Below are 19136 nucleotides of genomic sequence, written 5' to 3' on the forward strand. Positions count from 1 at the left end.
TGCGAAAAAGACCAGTGAAGCAGAAAAGAGGACCTAGAAACAGACCCACACATACATGGACACATGATATATGACAAAGGTGAAACTTCAGAGTGATGAAGAAAGAATGGACTTTTTAATAAAGGATGCTTGGGCAGCTAGATATCCATATGAAAATATCTCTATACCTCACATTATACACAAAAATAAATCTTCAAGTATAGATCTAAATATGAAAGATAAAAGAATAAAGCTTCAAATAAAGAACAGCATAGAAAAATGTCTTCATGACCACAGGTGGAAAAGACTTCTTTAAGTGACACAAAACACACTAAGTATAACAGATAAGATAAATTTCACTCTATTAATATCAGAAACTTCTGGTCATCAAATGACACCATTAAGATAATGAAAAGAATGCAACCCAATTAGAGGGAAAGATATTTGTGATAGATAGATCTGACAAGATGTATATCTAGAATATATAAATATCAAACCATTAAGAAAAATCAAACAAAAAATGTAAAAAGTTTTAAACAATTACTTCACACACAAACATAAAAAAACCCAAATGGCCAATCAATGTAGTACTAGGTGCTCAACCTCATAAGTCATCTGGAAAATGCAAATTACAACCATATAACAGTGTATATACCCCAAGATTAGCTAAACTGGAAAAAAAATCTACTGGTATCACATACTGGCAAGAACACAGTGCAACAGAAATGCTCATACAATGCCTATGCCTGTAGGAAGAATAACTAATACAACTTGTTTTGAAAAAATATTTTGGCATTATCTATTAAATTTGAAGATACACATATCCTATGACTCATCAATTCCACTTCTAAATACATTCCATATAAATATGTATACTAACATAAACCTGGATACACATATAACATAGTAGTATTTTTTTGCCAACAGCCCCAAACTGAAAACAACTCAAATGACGACCAACAACAAAAATGGGGCATATTCACTTAATGGAATACTATACAACAACAAAAATCAACCAACTACAGTCATATACAACCATGTGGATGAATCTTAACATTCAGCCGAAGAAGATAGGAATAAAAGATTACATACTGCACAAGCACACTTAAATAACGCTCAAAAACAGAGAGACCTATGGATACTCAGGCAGCAAAACATTAAAGAAAGGCAAGAAAGTGACTGCCATAATTATCAGAATATTGGTTACCTAATGGGCAAGGAAGATGACTGCAATCCAAAAAGGGTGGTCAGGGTGCTTCAGCCGTTCTAGCAGTATTGCATTGTGCTTACAATGGTGGTTATACAAATGGTCACTCTACTGTAATTCTTTAAACTATAAATTTGGTTTATATACTTTTTTGTGTTTTTCATATAAAAATCGTTTAAAATTCAATTCACTAAAATTCCAAGTAAAACCAAAAGGAAACCAAGACTCATCAGAACGATTATATTACAGTAAATTTAATAGGTATCAAAAATTTCCAAAAGTACATTTTAAAATTAAATCAAATGAAACAGAAGGGAATCATTCAAATGCTGGTACAAATTTGCACAGAGAAGACTGGCTTTTACATGGAACCCAACACCCTTTTGTTTAATCTGACCATGAAGGAAGACTAACATGTTCATTTAAATATATATAACTAACAAACGCTGTTAATAGGCAAGTTCTAAGATGGCCTCCAAAGATCCCCGCCTCTTAGTATTCAAACCCTTGTGCAATTCTGAGTGTGGAATGAACCAATGATGTGCTTCTAACAAACAGAAAACAGCAAAAGTTTTAGGATATAATTTCCAAGATGAAGTTACAAAGAACATGTGACTTCTGTCTTCAATATCCTCTCTTGCTTTCTTACTTGTTCCTTTTGAGAGGCAGCCAGCTGCCATGTAGTGAGCTATCCTATGGAGAAGCCCCTGTGACAAAAAAATTGTTATCTCTTTCCAAAAGCTGATGAGTGAGCTTGGAAAGTTCCTATCCCAGTCAAACCTTGAGATAACTGCTCCCTTGGCCAACAACTTAATTGCAGCTTGGTAAGAAACCCAGAGCCAAGGCACCCAGCTACTCTGAATCAAAATTCTAGACTCAATATATTAAATTTTTCATGTTTTAGGACATCAAATTTGAGAGTAATTTGTCACACAGCAATAGATAACTAATGCAAATGCCTATTATGTGCCTTGCACTTTCCATTCTCTTAATATTCTAAGGAGAATCAGTAGGAAAAAATAAAACTGAAAATTAAATGGCCCTAAATTACTAGCCAGTTGTGACAGTGGAATACTCATTATCCAAATGAGTTAAATGAATCTTAACATTAAATCCAAAAAGCATATTTAACTTCTCTGATTGGTATATATCAATGTCTAAAACTACACTCAACAGAACTCCAATTAAAAGTTACAAATGAAATCACGAAGTTAATTTTCAAAGTTTGAATGTCAAAAGAAGCAATTTGCCTCCTGGTAAATCTGTATTTTACTTGAATAAGTTCAAGTATATAAACCATATTACAGGTCCTAAGACCTGTAACAATTATATTCATTTTGAAGATTAAACACGCAAATAGACTTACATGGAAGAAGAAAATATAACCACTCACTTCAATCTGTCTGCACTAAAACATATTTTCTAGACTAAAGCTTATTATAATTACAAATCACTATAGTACCCAATTCCAATTATTGTGAAATTCAAGAAATTTAATCAAAGTAGTAGATAAACGTTTACAATTTGTTACCTAGCTCCTCAGAATTTCTTGTGTAATTAAAACTAAAATACTCAAAGTCAATCACAGATATATCAAAATCAAGAAAACCAAAATGTATTAATGACAGTACAATCACTGTACACTAGAGGCACAAATATCCAGAAGTATTTGGAACTAGTATGTTTCTTGGTTAACCCACCTACTACAAGAAAATATGGTCCAAGAGAAAAGAAAAAAAAATTAATCACAAACATTAGCTTAGATTCAAACCAAAATCAAGCGAAAAAGTTCTACGGCATGATTCATCCAGAAGTTTAATAACGGAAATATAAAAACACTATGCCAAAGCTATAAAATCAAAGTCAATATCACAGATGGTGTTGTGGGAGGCCATGGGCCACCACATCAAAGGCCAAATGAAGATCACACGGAAGAATTAATGTTGGAAAGGAATTCTCCATTATCTCTCCAGAAATGCAGATTGCCAGGCTCCAACAGAGCCTCCCTTAATCTGAACATGCATTTTAGCAAGATCATCAGGCAACTTTCTTTTTTTGGGACAGATTCTCGCCCTGTTGCCCAGGCTGGAGTGCAGTGGCGCGATCTCGGCTCACCACAAGCTCCGTAACAGGCAACTTTCATGCACATTGCCATTTATATTGCACCACCAGACATTTAAACAAATGAATGACTGGACATCTTCTTCTTTCCTACCACAAAAAAAAAACCTGAGACACAAGTAAATCTTAAATTTATAACAGATGTTTGTTAGTAGGAATATTAAAATCACAACTAAATTAGCAACAGTTGAGAATAAGAAAAATCTAGTCACAAACCACATAAAAAATATTTAGCTATTCAACACTTCATCATCCAGTAAAACATCTCTTATCTATTTATTGTCAAAAAGAATAAAGATAGCCCAGAACATAGCACATAACAGACAATTTACACATTTTTAAATGAGTAAAAAGTATCCTAATTAGACAATTCTTAACATAAACATACCAGGTTCCAGCCAGTTAGAAATTTAAAAAAAAAAAAAAAGTTTTCAAAGTTATTTTAGCATGCTATCCAGAGCACAGGATTTTGACTATTTAATTTTCCCATATTTTGTATAGTGTGAAATGACTGAGAAATTTTATAAATGTTAAATTAGAACATGCTCGCTATAAAACTGTTGATACAAAATTGCCTTTTAACTATCCTCCATGAGTTAGACCTCCCAAGTTCTAAATAGGTAGCTATGTTTTTACTTGTTTTTGCCTACATATGTTTTTACCATAAGAAAAAAACTATATCCTACCTAAGGCTTTATTATCTAAATTTTCCTAAGTTTTCTCCTCATGGTGAAGGGTAAGCTGTTATTTAATACATCTATTTTCAATTCTTTATAGTTTTTAGGTAAGTTATTGCAGTCAATCTTACTGATAACTTTTCAGCACATCTCCACAAAATGATTTTTTAAGTGTCAAGTTGTAAAGAGAAAAGAAGTTAAAATAACAAATCTTAAGGAAACCTCCTAAAAATTCAAATGCTTTTAAAAATATTTAAAGAAATTTTTTAGCCTGAAATGCTTTTACAAAATGGGAACAGTTAACAATAGTAAATAAAACATTATGTAAAACACACAAAATAATATACCTCTCTCTTATTTCTTCTTGCAACCTTGAGGAATTCCATAAGAATCTGTAGTTGGGCTGCATGTGATTCCTACAATAGAAAATTATAATTTTTCTTTTAAAAAATATAACTGAGTTGAAAGTTTTCTTTAACACCATAGCATAAACAGTATGAAGCAAATTTATGCACCCATTTAAGTTCGTCTATTATTTCTATTTAATCAGTTTTCCCATTCCATTTGCTAATTGGCATTTTTAAAAGAATCAATTTTCTATAAAACTAACTAAAACTAAGAAACAGGTGTTCTAAATTACATCCCTTATCTAACATGCTGAAAAATCTTTTCACGGATAATGGCAATTCTATTACCTGACTCCTAGCCTTCTCTTCCCCAACTCAACTAAGAAAACATCAAAACAAAATTTACAGTGAAAGTAACATAGCTTATAGACACTAAAATCACTTTCTCCATGAGAAGTTCATTTGCAGAGGTAAGTGTAATAAATAGAGATAAACCTATACCTTTCACAAGTCAAATTTACTATTTCTAGTTATTACCTACTTATTCACAGATGTGAGAATATATTTCTATGGAAGATTTCAGGCAAAATCAAACAACTGAAAACAAAAAAATTTAATATAATCAAGTGGACAGCTTGCGGGTAGGGAGTAACTCAAATTGGTAATTGAGACAAGGATAGAACAGATAAATGAAAGTATAATAAGCCTTGACATTTTCTGAGTAGCAAAACATAAAAACACAAGTATGTATCATTTACTGTTAAAATTCACAAGAACCAGGAATTCCAGGTTAATCTGATAAAAATATATAAAATAATATCAAAAGCTAAAAATAAAATAACAATAAGAGACAGTTTATGAACAAACATCATTCTAATTTTTTCTTATATACTTGAAAGGGAGAATAAAAAAGCCCAGTGGAGCAATTCCAAAACAAACAAAAATACATGGAAAAAAAGATTAATAAAACTTTCATTTGCCTGGCTATGCAACAGAATTACCTGGGGCATTTGTTAAAACAGACACTGGGTCAGATTTTTAAAATTCTGATCCTGTTGCTCTAGAAAAGGTTCCAGGAATTTTTGTTAAACAAGTGCCCAGATGATAAGAATAAGCCAATTAAAATCTGAAGAATCACTAAGATATAACACGTACTACAAATAAGCATGACCACCTCACACCCACTTCCAGAGTCTATGCCTCTTGCAGATCTTTGGATTTTAAAAAATAAGAGGCAAAACAGATCAACGTAATTTACAAGTCAAGGCAAATAAGGAGAGAGAAAATATGAACTGATAATCACAACAGGATAGTCCAATTAAAATAATATAACTGAATTAATATGTTTTACAACTGAATAAATTTCCAAAACATAGAATCATGAAGATTGAAATTTTTTCTTGCATGACAAACTGACTTTGACTGGACCTTAGACCCATTCTTCCCAAGTGAGTTAATCTGTCACACAGAACAAACTCACATGGGCTCTGTCTCAACAATGACGACAAAGCATCCAAGCCTTCCACATTGTTTGTGGGACTTCTCTACACTGGTTATCTCTAACTATCTACGATTATTTGTCTAGAGGACAAAGACCACATGTTTATTTAAAAAGTAACAACTTTATACAAAAAGTAACTCCAAGTTAATAAAGTGACAGTTCATTTACAAAGGAATTATACAAACTATCTTCAAAATTATAAATCTGAACACTTCATTTCAATCTATTAACTAGAATATGTAAATATGACAAGAATGCAATTAACTTGTAGAAAGAAGGAGAAAGTCCCCAAAATGTCAATGTAAAAGGAAAGTGGGTCCAACTACATACACCAGGAATTCACCACATGACACCTTCTTCTGCAGTTTAATCTTTTTAAAGGAAGAATTTCAAGAAAAGAGATGAATGGCAAATATGAAACTACAATTTCACATATAAATATGAAGGAAAATTATAAAAAAGAGATAGTGGAAGAAAAGAGAATGCTTTAAAAAATGGAAAGAGTATAACCAATTATACCAAAATGTCTAGCCATATAATGTTCTATTAGAACAGGTGCAAATTTTTAACATGAAAGTAATCCCACCACTAAAAATGAAAGTCCAAGAAGTCAATTCTCTAAACATCTCTTACAATCGTCAAAACTTCCAAAAAACATGTAATGATCATTTAGCCCAATTCTCCCATTTTCGGATAAGGAAGCGTGTAAGAAAAAGAATAAAGAGAAATGTATTTAGAAAGAAAGAAAGAGAGAAAGAAAGAAAAAGGAAGGAAGGAAGGAAGGAGAGAAAGAAAGAAAGGAGAGAAAGAAAGAAGGAAAGAAAGAAAGAAGGAAGGAAAGAAAGAAAAAGAAAGAAAGAAAGAAAGAAAGAAAGAAAGAAAGAAAGAAAGAAAGAAAGAAAGAAAGAAAGAAACATATTTAGAATTTTACTCTCTACTCTCAGTACTCTACAATACAGCAAGTTTTTGTTACACTTGTCCCATCTGGTTCAGTTAAGCGTCTCAAGAGGGAGCGTATCTGCTATGTGACATGAAATATGCTTCGAGTTTTTATAGAACATTGGTCTTCTTTATTTTCCTACCCTTCTCTGCAACTAAATTTTGTTGTATTCTAAAAGAAAAAATTATCCTTATTATGGGAATGGAAGCAACTGCCTGATCAGAGCCTAATATAATTAAATATGTGAACTGCCTATTAAACTCTTCTTATTCCAATTCCATGCTTTAGTATCCTTCGGTTATATGGCAAGTTAGATGTCTTTCCAACTGGGAGAAAACACATTGGTCATAACTATGTAAATAACTAATGTAACTGATTTTTAAATATTTCACTATAAATGAGTAATTTGGTCCTTACAGGTTTAGTTAGCATAAGTTCATCTTCCCAAGTACAGTTCACTCTACAACAGTTGTCTCAAGAGTAGAACAACTGCCATTTTGAGGGCATTTTTTTTTTTTTTTTGCATCAGACTTTCTAAGCAGAATGGCATACGCAAGTTATTTAGAAATATAGAATTGTTGGCTGCAAAATCCTAGCACTGCGGGAAGCCAAGGCAGGCAGATTGCGTGAGCTCTGGAGTTCAAGACCAGCCTGGGCAACATGGCGACACCCCATCTCTACAAAAAATTCAAAAACTAGCTGGGCATAGTGGCATGTGCCTACGGTCCCAGCTACTTGGGAAGCTCAAGGCTGCAGTGAGCAGTGATCGCACCATTGCAGTCCAGTCTGGGTGAAAAAGCGAGACCTTCTCTCTCCTAAAAAAAAAAAATTATACATAATAGAGAGTGTGTGCAGTAAATAAAAACAATTAAAAATTGAAAAGATTCCTTCTGGAAAATTGATATCAGGGACTGGGAGTAATGGAACTAGGAACTGTTGCTATTTGCTATAAATCTTGTTAATAATGTTATGACATTGTAAATTAGAAGTAATTATTACTTAGATTTTTTTTTTTTCTTGAGACAGAGCCTCACTCTGTTTCCCAGGCTGGAGTACAGTAGCACGATCTCAGCTCACTGCAGCCTCCGCTCCCCAAGGTGAAGCAATTCTTCTGCCTCGGCCTCCCAAGTAGCTGGGATTACACATTCGCACCACCATGTCCAGCTAATTTTTGTATTTTTAGTAGAAACTGGGTTTCACCATGTTGGCCAGGCTGGTCTCGAACTCCTAAGTGATCTGCCTTCCTGGCCTCCCAAAGTGCCGTAATTACGGCGTGAGCCACTGTGCCCAGCTTAAAATTCTAACCAAAAAAACCCTAGATAACTTTATGTGTGTTTCCCCTACTTGGGTTCAGATTCCCTACCTATAAAATGTGCAGGTAACATTTCACAAACAGGAGTCATCATCCCATACTTTAGATAGGATATTACTATTTAGGTAATAATTTTTCTCTAGAACACTACAGTATTTTCCTTAAATCTACTGTCAACAGAAAACTTCTAAAGGATATTCACTTCTGCTTGTATAGACAACAGACTTCAAATAAGGGTACAGATATACCTGAGAATGCATGAAGATCTTCCAAAGCGTATGTGGACACAGAGGGTTTTAGGAAGTTGATTCCCTAATTCTCCACCATCTACCTTTTCTTCTTCTAAAACATGTCTGCTCACAGGACATCACTCCAGTTCTCAATTCTAGCCTCTTTCATCAAATTTTCTATTCTCACTTTGTACAGAAGGTTGTAAGGAAGGGATGGCAGCAAAGCAGGTAGGCTTGTCACTTATCTTTTACCCACCCAGAAGTTTACCTTATACATGTCCCTGGGGTATAAAATTCTCTGGAATAACAAAATAAGGCAATAAAAAATACTACAGTTTGGAAAAGTGGATGACTCTAAAGACTAGATAACAAATCCTTTTATAAGTCAGGTAGTTCCCAAGTCTTTGTACTGACAGAAATGAATACTAGTGATTTCTGTACATTGATTTTGTATTCTGAGACTTTGCTGAACTTGTTTGTCAGCTTAAGAAGCTTGTCGGCTGAGACTATGGGATTTTCTAGGTATAGAACCATGTCATCTGCAAACAGATAGTTTGACTTACTCTCTTCCTATTTGGATCCCCTTTCTTTCTTTCTATGCTTGACTGCTCCAGCCAAGACTTCCATCACCATGTTGAATAAACAGGAGTAGTGAAAGAGGGCATCCTTGTCTTGTGTTGGTTTTCAAGGGCAATGCTTCCAGCCTTTGCCCATTTAATGATGTTGGCTGTGGGTTTGTCACAGATGGCCCTTATTATTTTGCGGTATGTTCCTTCAATACCTAGTTTATTGAGAGTTTTTAATATGAAGGAGGGCTGAATTTTGTTGAAAGTCTTTTCTGCATCTACTGAGATAATCATGTTGTTTCTATCTTTTGTAGTTCCATTCGTGTGATAAATCACATTTATTGATTTGCATATGTTGAACCAGTCTTGCATCCCAAAGATAAAGCCTACTTTATCATGCTGGATAAGCTTTTTGGTGTACTGCTGGATTCAATTTGCCAGTATTTTGTTGAGGATTTTTGCATGGATGTGAATCAGTAACACTGGTCTTAAGTTTCCTTTTTTTGCTGTGTCTCTGCCAGGTTTTGGTATCAAGATGATGCTGGCCTCACAGAATACTTAGGGAGGAGTGCCTCTTCCTCAATTTTTTGGAATAGTTTCAGTAGGAATGGTACCAGCTTTTCTTTGTATATCTGGCAGGGCTACTTATTACTGATTTAATTTTGGAGCTCTTTATTGGTCTGTTCAGGGATTCAATTTCTTCCTGGCTCAGTCTTGAAAGGGTGTATGTGACCAGGATACCCAAAGGAATACAAATCCTTGCATTATAAAGACATATGCACATGTATGTTCACTGCAGCACTATTTACAATAGCAAAGACATGGAATCAACCTAAATGCCCATTAATGGTAGATTAGATAAAGAAAATGTGGTGTACATACACGATAGAATGCTATGCAGCCATAAAAAAGGAGATCACGTCCTCTGCAGGAACATAAATGAAGCCAGAAACCATTATCCTTAGCAAACTAACACAGGACGAAAACCAAATACCACATGTTCTCACTTACAAGTGAGAACTAAACGATGAGGACACATGGACACATAGAGGGGAACAATACACACTGGGGCCTATCGGAGGGTAGAGGGTGGGAAGAGGAAAAGGATCACGAAAAATAACTAATGGATACTAGGCTTAATAGCTGGGTGACAAAATAATCTGTACAATGAACCCCCATGACACAAGTTTACCTATATATAACAAACCTGCACATGTACTCCTGAACTTAAAAGTTAAATACAAAAAGACTGAAAGGATATGAAACTAGACGATGACGGTATTGGAAAGAAAATTGAAAAATCCATAATCACATTAGTAAATTAATATACTTTCTTCTGCATTAGCTGGGTTTTTATTTTTAAATAATTTTAATAGAAAATTTTAAATAGAAAGATTATTAGACATAAAGAACAAATCCTTGAAACAATTTCAGAACACACATGCTTAAAAGCATAAGACGAATATTTACAAAAAGTGACAACAGTTCATAAAATGAGTGACTTAAATTTGGAAGCACTGGCATCACAGACAACACTTTCACAGTACAAATCATTTCAGTTAAAAAAAATTAGTGTTTAATCCTCTTCAGATTAAAATGTAAAAGGTTACTTCCACAGTAACAAAAAAAGGGATAAATCAAAAAATGCGTACTATTCTTTAAAGCCAATGACTGAAACTAACTCAAGCAGCGATGAAGCCCCAGTTAAGCTGAATTCCTGAATAAAACCAAAGGGGTCAGTCTCTCATCCTTGCTCCTAAAAACTAAAATAAATAAATAATTTTATAAGTAAATAAATATAAATTTAAAAATCGATGAAATTAAGAGCAAAGCAGACATAGCAGAGGAAAGGAATAACAAACTCAAACACAGTTCAATACAAATTATTTAAATTCACAGGAAAAAAAGGAAAATAAGAACAGAGCATCAGAAGTCTGTAAGATAATATGAAACATTATAACAACATATGACTAGAAACCTACAGGGAAAGGAAGGAGAGCAAAGGGCTGAACAAGTAATGGCTGACTATGTTCAAAAATTAAATCCTAGGCATTGAATTTGTTCGCTGCCAAAAAACAAAATAAAATAAAGAACAGATCCTCTTGTTGCATGAAACCCAAGAAGAATAAATATAAAAATAATAAAATGTAGGAATAACATAGTCAAATTGCTGAAAACCAATGTCAGAAAGAAAATCTTAAAAGCAGTTAGAGAGAAAAACGATATACTAGCTTTAGGAGAAGGATGGTAAAAATGACTACTGATTTCATCAGAAACAAAAGAATAGTGAAAATATCTTTAAAGTGTTTTAAAAAGAAAACCCAAAGCTTCTATATAGAGCAAAACAATCTGCTTTACAAGAAATAGTAAAAAAGTTATACAAGTAAAAGGGAAATCAGCCAGATGGATGCGAGAAAAAATGAAGAGCATCTGAAAAGGTAAATATTTGGGTAAATAAAAAAAGGGTCTGGTGGGTTTTTGTTCTTTTTTATTTATTTATTTTGGTATCCTATCTTCAAAAGCCAAAATAACAATGTTTTAAAAAAGAAAAAAAAAGTTTGGTGAGACTTATAACATGGTTTGAACCAAAAAAAGGGGAAGTTTAGTAAACTGAGTTATGTGGTATACCATATATTCAAGATTGCCTGCAAACATATTGTCCTTGAAGTAGCATACTATAAACTGTGTGGGAGAAAAGGCCTTTTGTGGTATTTAGAGAAAACACTAAAATTACAATAAAAAGAAGTACATGAAAAATAGAGAAGATAAAATGAGATACTGAAAACCCAATGATGTCTAAAGGAGGCAAGAAAGGAGGAAGAAGTGATAAAGAACAGGAGGGAGAAATGGAAAACAAATACCATGGTGTAGACTCAAACCGAACTATATCAATAATTATATTAAATAAAATTTAAATGGACTTAAGCACTTCAATTCACTGCACTTATTAGACTGTGTTTTTAAAAAGAACAGAAAAAAATACTACCTACTGTTAAGGACACACACTTTATAAGGACAATGACAGAACTAAAGTACAAGCATGAAGAAGACTATACCATGGAAACATTAACTATAAGTAAGATGCTGTGGCTCTATCAGTATCAGACAAAGCAGACTTCAGAACAATAAATATTTCCAACAATAAACATATCCATTTCATAATAATAATAAAGGAGATGATTCATCCAGAAGATATAAAAATTCTAAACATGTATGAGCTGCACCTAATAACAGGGTTTCAAAATACATGAAGCAAAAATTACCAAAAAAGAAAACAAAAGTAGACAATTATAATAATAACAGTAACACACTCGTCAGCAACTGACAGCAAGGAGGAAAAACAAATTTAATAATATTAACTGGCTGGGTCTGGTGGCTCACACCAGTAATTTCAGCACTTTTGGAGGCCAAGGCAGGCAGATCACCCAAGGCCAGGAGTTCGAGACCAGCCTGGTCAACATGGTGAGACGCCATCTCTACCAAAAATATAAAAATTAGCCGAGGGGGGTGGTGTGTGCCAGTAATCCCAGCTACTTGGGAGGCTGAGGCAGGAGAATCTCTTGAACCTGGGAGGCAGAGGTTGCAGCAGAGATCACGCCACTGCACTCCAGCCTGAGTGACAAAGAGAGACTCCATCTCAAAAAAATAATAACAACAACAATAATATTAATATTAACCCACACTACATAATCATATTTATAAAGAACTACAATGAATAAAAACACTGTTTTCAAATGCAAGTGGAATATTTACAAAACAGATTATGCTGAGCTACAATGAAATCACAATCAATTTCAAAGGACTAAACACATGCAAATTGAGCTTCCCCTTCTGGCCAAAATGGAGTAAAAGGGACTAGATTTACATTCCTGCCTTAAACAACAAAACACCTGTCCAACTATATGAAACAATGCTTTCCAGACAAAGGGCCAGAAATATTACATGTTCCCAGCAGCCAGAGTAGAAAAACCAAGAAATATACATGCATCAGGCACTCAAAAAGGTTGTCTCAGTAGTGAGGCAAAACTAGCAGAGACAAAAAACTGCTCTGCTCCTCCCTATCATACCTTAAAAACAAGCTTCAAGAGATTCAAACTGTTTCCAAGTAACTTAACTACATGTCAGGACAAAGTTCAGGAATATATAAAGGATTACAAAAATATTCAGCACTGAACAAGGTGAAATTTATAATTTCTGGCATCTAATTAAGAAACAAGCATGCAAAGAAGCAGAAAAATATATCCTACAATAAGGGAAAAAGTCAATCTATATGGAGCAAAATTGAAGACAGCAATAGAAACTATCCAAAATGCACTAGAAAGATGAATAAGATCAAATAAAATGAACAAAACTATTCATCAATGACCTAAAGAACAACTTCAACTAGCCTAAGAGATATGTAACTGGAATTCCCAAAGTGGAAGAGGGGACATAAAAATATTTGAAGAAATAATGGCTGAAAATTTTCTAAATCTGAAGCAAACTATAAATCTACAGATCTAAAAAATTCAAAGAACCCAATAACAAAAAACACAAAGGGGGAAAAAAAAAACCTCTACTGCAAGGCACATCATAATCAAAACACTTACACCCATAAAAAGAGTATCTTAAACTGGGAGAAACATATTTCATTAAGAAGACAAAAGATAAGAATGACAGCAGACTTTTCATCTGAAACAATGCTAGGAGACAGTGGAGCAACATTTCTTTAAAAGCCAATCTGGAATTTTATACTTATATGGAGTACCTTTCAAACACAAAAGTAAAATAAAGATTTTGTCAGACATATAAAAGAAATAATTCGCCTCTCGCCGTCCTGCACTAAAGAAATGGTAAATGATGTCCTTGAGGCTAAAGGAAAATAACAGATAGAAACCAATCTAGACAAAAGAATAAAGGACACCAGAAATGGTAAATAAATGGGTAATATAAGACTTGCTAGAAATCTCCATAATTTAACCACAATTAATAACAACGTATTGTGGAATATATAACACATTTAGAAGTAAAATATATGACATAAAATACTACAATGGCCAGGAGAGAGAAAATGAAAGTATACTGTTTTTAAGGTTCTTTTTTTTTTTTTTTTTTTTTTTTGTGGAGATGGAGTCTTGCTCTGTCTCCCAGGCTGGAGTGCAGTGGCACAATCTCGGCTCACTGCAACCTCTGCCTCCTGGGTTCAGGCAATCCTCCTACCTCTGCCTCCCAAGTAGCTGGGACTATAGGCGCACACCGCCATACCCAGCTAATTTTTTGTATTTTTAGTAGAGACAGGGTTTTACCATGTTGCCCAGGCTGGTCTCGAACTCCTGAGCTCAGGCAATCCACCCACCTCGGCCTCCCAAAGTGCTAGGGTTACAGGCGTAAGCCACTGTGCCTGGCCTAAGGTTCTTGTAATACAGATGAAGTAGTATAATATTACTTTAATGTAGAATGTGGTAGTAATTGTATTAAAAACTCTAAAGCAACCACTAAAAAGACAAAAAATTATAAGTGATGAACCAACAAAGCATCTAAAATGGAATCACCTAAAATCATGTAAATTATGTTCTCCAACTATAATGGAATTCAACTAGAATTCAATTACCAAAATATATACTTGGCAAAGTAGTAATATACAAAATACAAGCACACACACATACACAAATCAGTAAGAGAAAAGACAAATGATCCATCAGGAAAATGGACACAAAATATGAATAGGTAATTCATCAAATAGAAAACAAGGGTGGCCAAATGAAGAAATTCTCAGCTGTACTGGTTATTACAGAAATGTATTTTTAAAACACACATACACACACACAAACAGCATTTGATACTTATCAGACTGGCAGTAACTAAAAAACAGAAAATACCAAGTGCTTATATGGCACAAATCCACAGAAGAGCAATCTGTCAATATCAAATATTTAATAAGATTAAAATGTGCACACATACCCTAATGCGAGCACAAGGAGAAAGGTATACTAAATGTAGTGCTGACACAACTAAGAATTGAGAAGAACCTAAATGCCCATCAATAGAATAATAGATATATTTCTGAAACAGATTACTATAAGAATTTAAAATAAATAAACCAAATCTACACTTATCAATATGAACCTCAAAAAGTAAACAAATAGGTATATTTCAAAAGGATAACTACAGCATGAAACCCTTTATATAAACCTCTAATTTATGCAAACTACTTTATATGGTTGTAGATACTAACATACATAAGAAACGCATACACATGCTTGAGAAGGATTCTTGCCAACTTCATATGGTGGTCACACTGGGAGAAGGGAATGAGATGAGAGGGGTTTAAGTATGAAAATAATTACTTCTTAAGTCAGATCTAAGACATACGCCAAAATCTTCACATTTATTAAAACTAGGAAGGAGTATTTCAGAGCCCCATATTATTTTCTGTACTTTTCTGTATGCTGGAAAGATTCAGGTTAAATAATAATGAAAAGTAAAACAGAAAGCAATAATGTAAAAAAATCTATGACAGGAACTTTGCTTCTGAGGTGGCTCCCTCTTCAGAAAATAATAGGAAAGAATCTGTAATCTAATAAGACAACTGTGTTTCTTCAATTCGAAGCCAAAAAGGAAACAAAGACTAATGCTGGCATATGAGAAGGTAGGAAGAAGGTTACCAGTTCTCACTTTCACTATGTAATTATCTGCTTTTGGTATGGTAGCCCACACACATCTTTTTTTTTTTTTTTTTTTTTTTTTTTTACTTTAAGTTCTGGGACACGAGTGCAGAATGTGTAGGTTTGTTACCTAGGCAATATCATTCAGGACATAGGAATGGGCAAAGACTTCATGACTAAAACATCAAAAGCAATGGCAACAAAAGCCAAAATTGGCATATGGGATCTAATTAAACTAAAGAGCTTCTACACAGCAAAAGAAACTATCATCACAGTGAACAGGCAACCTACAGAATGGGGAAAAATTTTTGCAATGTACCCATCTGACAAAGATCTAATATCCAGAATCTACAAGGAACTTTGAACAAATTTACAGGAAAAAAAATAAACAACCCCATCGAAAAGTGGGCAAAGGATATGAACAGACACTTCTCAAAAGAAGACATTTATGTGGCCAAAAAACGTATGAAAAAAAACTCAACATCACTGATCATTAGATAAATGCAAATCAAAACCACAATGAGATACCATCTCACATCAGTCTGAATGGCAATTATTAAAAAGCCAAGAAACAACAGATGCTGACGAGGCTGTGGAGAAACAGGAACACCCACATACATCTTTAAGTGTGCCTGTTATGAAGCAGTCCAGAGAGCTTCTTTCTTACCACCTCCGTTGGGGGTGGAGGGGTTAAAAATTATAGTTTTCTCCTAAAGTAGAAAAGGAAGAATCATTAGCTTAGTTATATAAGAAGGAATCAGGGATTCCAACTGCTTCTTAAACAGATTCTCAACCACTCATTGTTTTCAGCCTTTACTCTGTCAGATACCTGATGGTCCCAATCCCAGGGCCTCTGCTCCACAATATAAATAGGGTCAGTTCTTAGCTTTCTCCCTATTGCTGGTGTAGCATTCAGTTTCCTCAGATCTACTTATCTGTTACCTTTTGTCCATCTGTTTCATAGCTTAGAAAAAATTCCTGAAAATATATCTTATCTCATTTTATTTATTTTTGCCTCTTTAAAATCCCTAATTTACTGTCATTTTCATCATTTCAAAAGGGAGCAAGGTAACTGCGTATGTTCAATCTCTCATAAAAAGTCATTTTAGGGCCGGAAGCAGTGGCTCACCCTATAATCCCAGCACCCTGGGAGGCTGAGGTGGGAGGATTGCTTGAAGCCAAGAGTTTGAGACTACTGTAGGCCAATATAGTGAGACCTGTATCTACAAAAAATAAAAATAAAAATAAACTAGTTGGGTGATTTAAAAACTAAAAAAATTAGTGGTGTGAGTGAGAGGCTGAGGCAGGAGAATCACTTGAGCCCAGGGGGTAGAGGATGCAGTGAGCTATGACTGTACCACTGCACTCCAGACTGGGTGGGTGACAGAGGGAGACTTTGTCCCTTAAAAAAAAAAGAAAGTCTTTTATATTACTTATCACCATGTGAAAATACCTGCTTTACTGATTTAGTTCACAAACACACACATACAGCAGAACTCTAGCTTGTCCACAGACCTTAACACAACCCCTGGCAAACAGTAGATGCTAATAGTAAACTATGGTTAAAACCGTAAGAGAAATTCCCATTTACCCGACCTCCCAAACAGATATAACATGGGAGACAACTTATTTTGGCTGGCTCAACCTGACACACCTTTCTCCTACTAGAAGATCCCCACCACAGTCAGTGGGATCCAGATCCAAGCTAAGTTAATCATAATCTAGCCACAGAAATCTTTAAACTGCAGTTGGAAACAAAAGCTCCTTTTTTTCTTTTATCAAAAAACATACATATAAACCAAGAGTGCAAATGACATTATTATCCACCATGTGATAAAAAAGTCTACAAGAAAAGAAAATCAGAGCTGTCCCAATCAAACAGGCATAAGGGGCACAAAAGAAAGACTCTCAACAACATTCAAATCCCTATCTCATGTACTTGTAGTCTTCCAGAGAAGCCATGGTTCTAATCTTCTCAAAGTTTGGTGGTTCAACTATTCTTTTTTGTGTGTATGTGTTACTCACTCACTTACTGTCTCAATAAATACTCCCTTTATGTTTAACCTCAGGGTAGTATTTGCTTATGCTAAGGTGTGTGTTGCTTATAATATATCACACTCAATTCCCAATACTTGCAATTTCACATTTTACGTCTTTAACAGTTACGTAAAATAAATGGAATTTTACATTACATTAAATAAGATATATTTAGTACAGATCTCTTTAAATGCTCTTAGTTATGCCATAGACTACTACTGCTACCAATGGACACCTGCTGAAAGAACTGTATGTAGATAAAAATAATCTCTATTTCTCCTCCAAATCTCACATATGAAGAGGGGACAATATGGTAAGAAAGATACTCATTAGAAGACAGATAACCAACAAAACTATTTCCTATGAAAACGAAACTTTACTTTCTCAAGATTTTGAACACTCAGCTTTTGTTAATAAAAACTGGTCATTGCAAATAAGTTATAATGTATTGAAATTGTTCTTTAAGTTACAAAAAGGGGGAATCTAGCAGAAGTGACACTTTGTAGCTGTTTCTAGCTGAGTAAAAATGAATGGATTAGTGAAGCTATCCTATTATTTTTAAACTTTCTACGTCTTTTTTATTGCAATAAAGTTCATCATTTAAAATTTTTTTTAAGTTTAGCTACCACTTACTGCTTCCAGTTGTTTCTTCTTCTGCACTAGTAACTCCAACATAAGATTGACATTGGCCAAATCAAGGTTATCTTGGTCAGTTCCCAACCAATCTTGAAATATCTGCCACCTGTGGCCATTCTAAAAATGAAGAAAGAAGAAACACAACAACTTCCTATGAAGACTGTTTTAGAGACTAAAACAAATGTTTACTTGCTACTTCCTAATATGCTCATTACATAGATATCGAAAATATATTATAATGTTCCAAACTACCCCTTCCTAGCTAGTGGCTCCCTACTGTCTTACAGTTATAACTTAAACACTATTTCTTCTCCCTTAAATGAATTTAGATAACAAATATAAAAGGTGCCTTTGAGACTATTCTAAAGCTGTAATTTACCTTCAAAATGACTGAATTTAATTATTTGTCTAGCCATATTTTCAATTTTGCATGTAGTAAGGTATTAAGCTCATTTGCCTCCATAATTTGGGACTAAGCCTTTAAAATTGAGAATCTTTCAAAGGTTTGTTTTGTTTTTGTTTTTGTTTGAATATAGACAAAGTCTCGCTATGTTGCCCAAGCTAGTCTCAAATTCTTGGGCTTGAGTGATCCTCCCACCTTGGCCTCCCAAAGTGTTGGGATTATAGGTGTGAGCCCAACCTCAACAGTTTTTTGAAAATATCTAACCATTGTTTCACCACCCAAAATAATCCTTCAAATGTCAAGTATTCAAAGACAAATGTTTCAATATAATCCTACCAGACCTTTCAAAATAGGATCACTCTAGTAAAGTACTACAGACAATGCAGTTAAGAAAGTTAGTTATTTGACTAGAACAATCCTAAACAATCGCCTTTTAAGAAAAATCAATAATATACTAAACTTTAACATCTAACTAATATTAAACCAATAAAAACAACAAAATGAAATTTATTAAAAATAGTAATAAGAGTTGAAAC

The 19136-nt window shown here is 34.1% G+C and overlaps 1 protein-coding gene across 30 annotated transcripts in view; it reads right to left on the reverse strand.

Moving 5' to 3' along the window:
- The window catches only part of COP1 (COP1 E3 ubiquitin ligase), a 262456-nt gene that overhangs the window by 199844 nt on the left and 43476 nt on the right, over nt 1–19136 (reverse strand). For 15 of the 30 annotated variants that reach the window (NM_001001740.4, XM_047427782.1, XM_005245447.4 and 12 more), the window contains exons 5-6: nt 18195–18314; nt 4332–4400 (exon numbers count right to left, since the gene is read on the reverse strand). In NM_001001740.4, the coding sequence (NP_001001740.1) occupies nt 4332–4400; nt 18195–18314 (189 nt within the window). Of the gene's footprint in view, nt 1–4331; nt 4401–18194; nt 18315–19136 lie in introns of those variants that run through there. The other 15 variants (XM_047427793.1, XM_047427798.1, NM_001286644.2 and 12 more) reach the window with 3 other exon arrangements.

This window comes from Homo sapiens, chromosome 1 (assembly GCF_000001405.40).
Source record: "Homo sapiens chromosome 1, GRCh38.p14 Primary Assembly".
Taxonomy (NCBI): domain Eukaryota; kingdom Metazoa; phylum Chordata; class Mammalia; order Primates; family Hominidae; genus Homo; species Homo sapiens.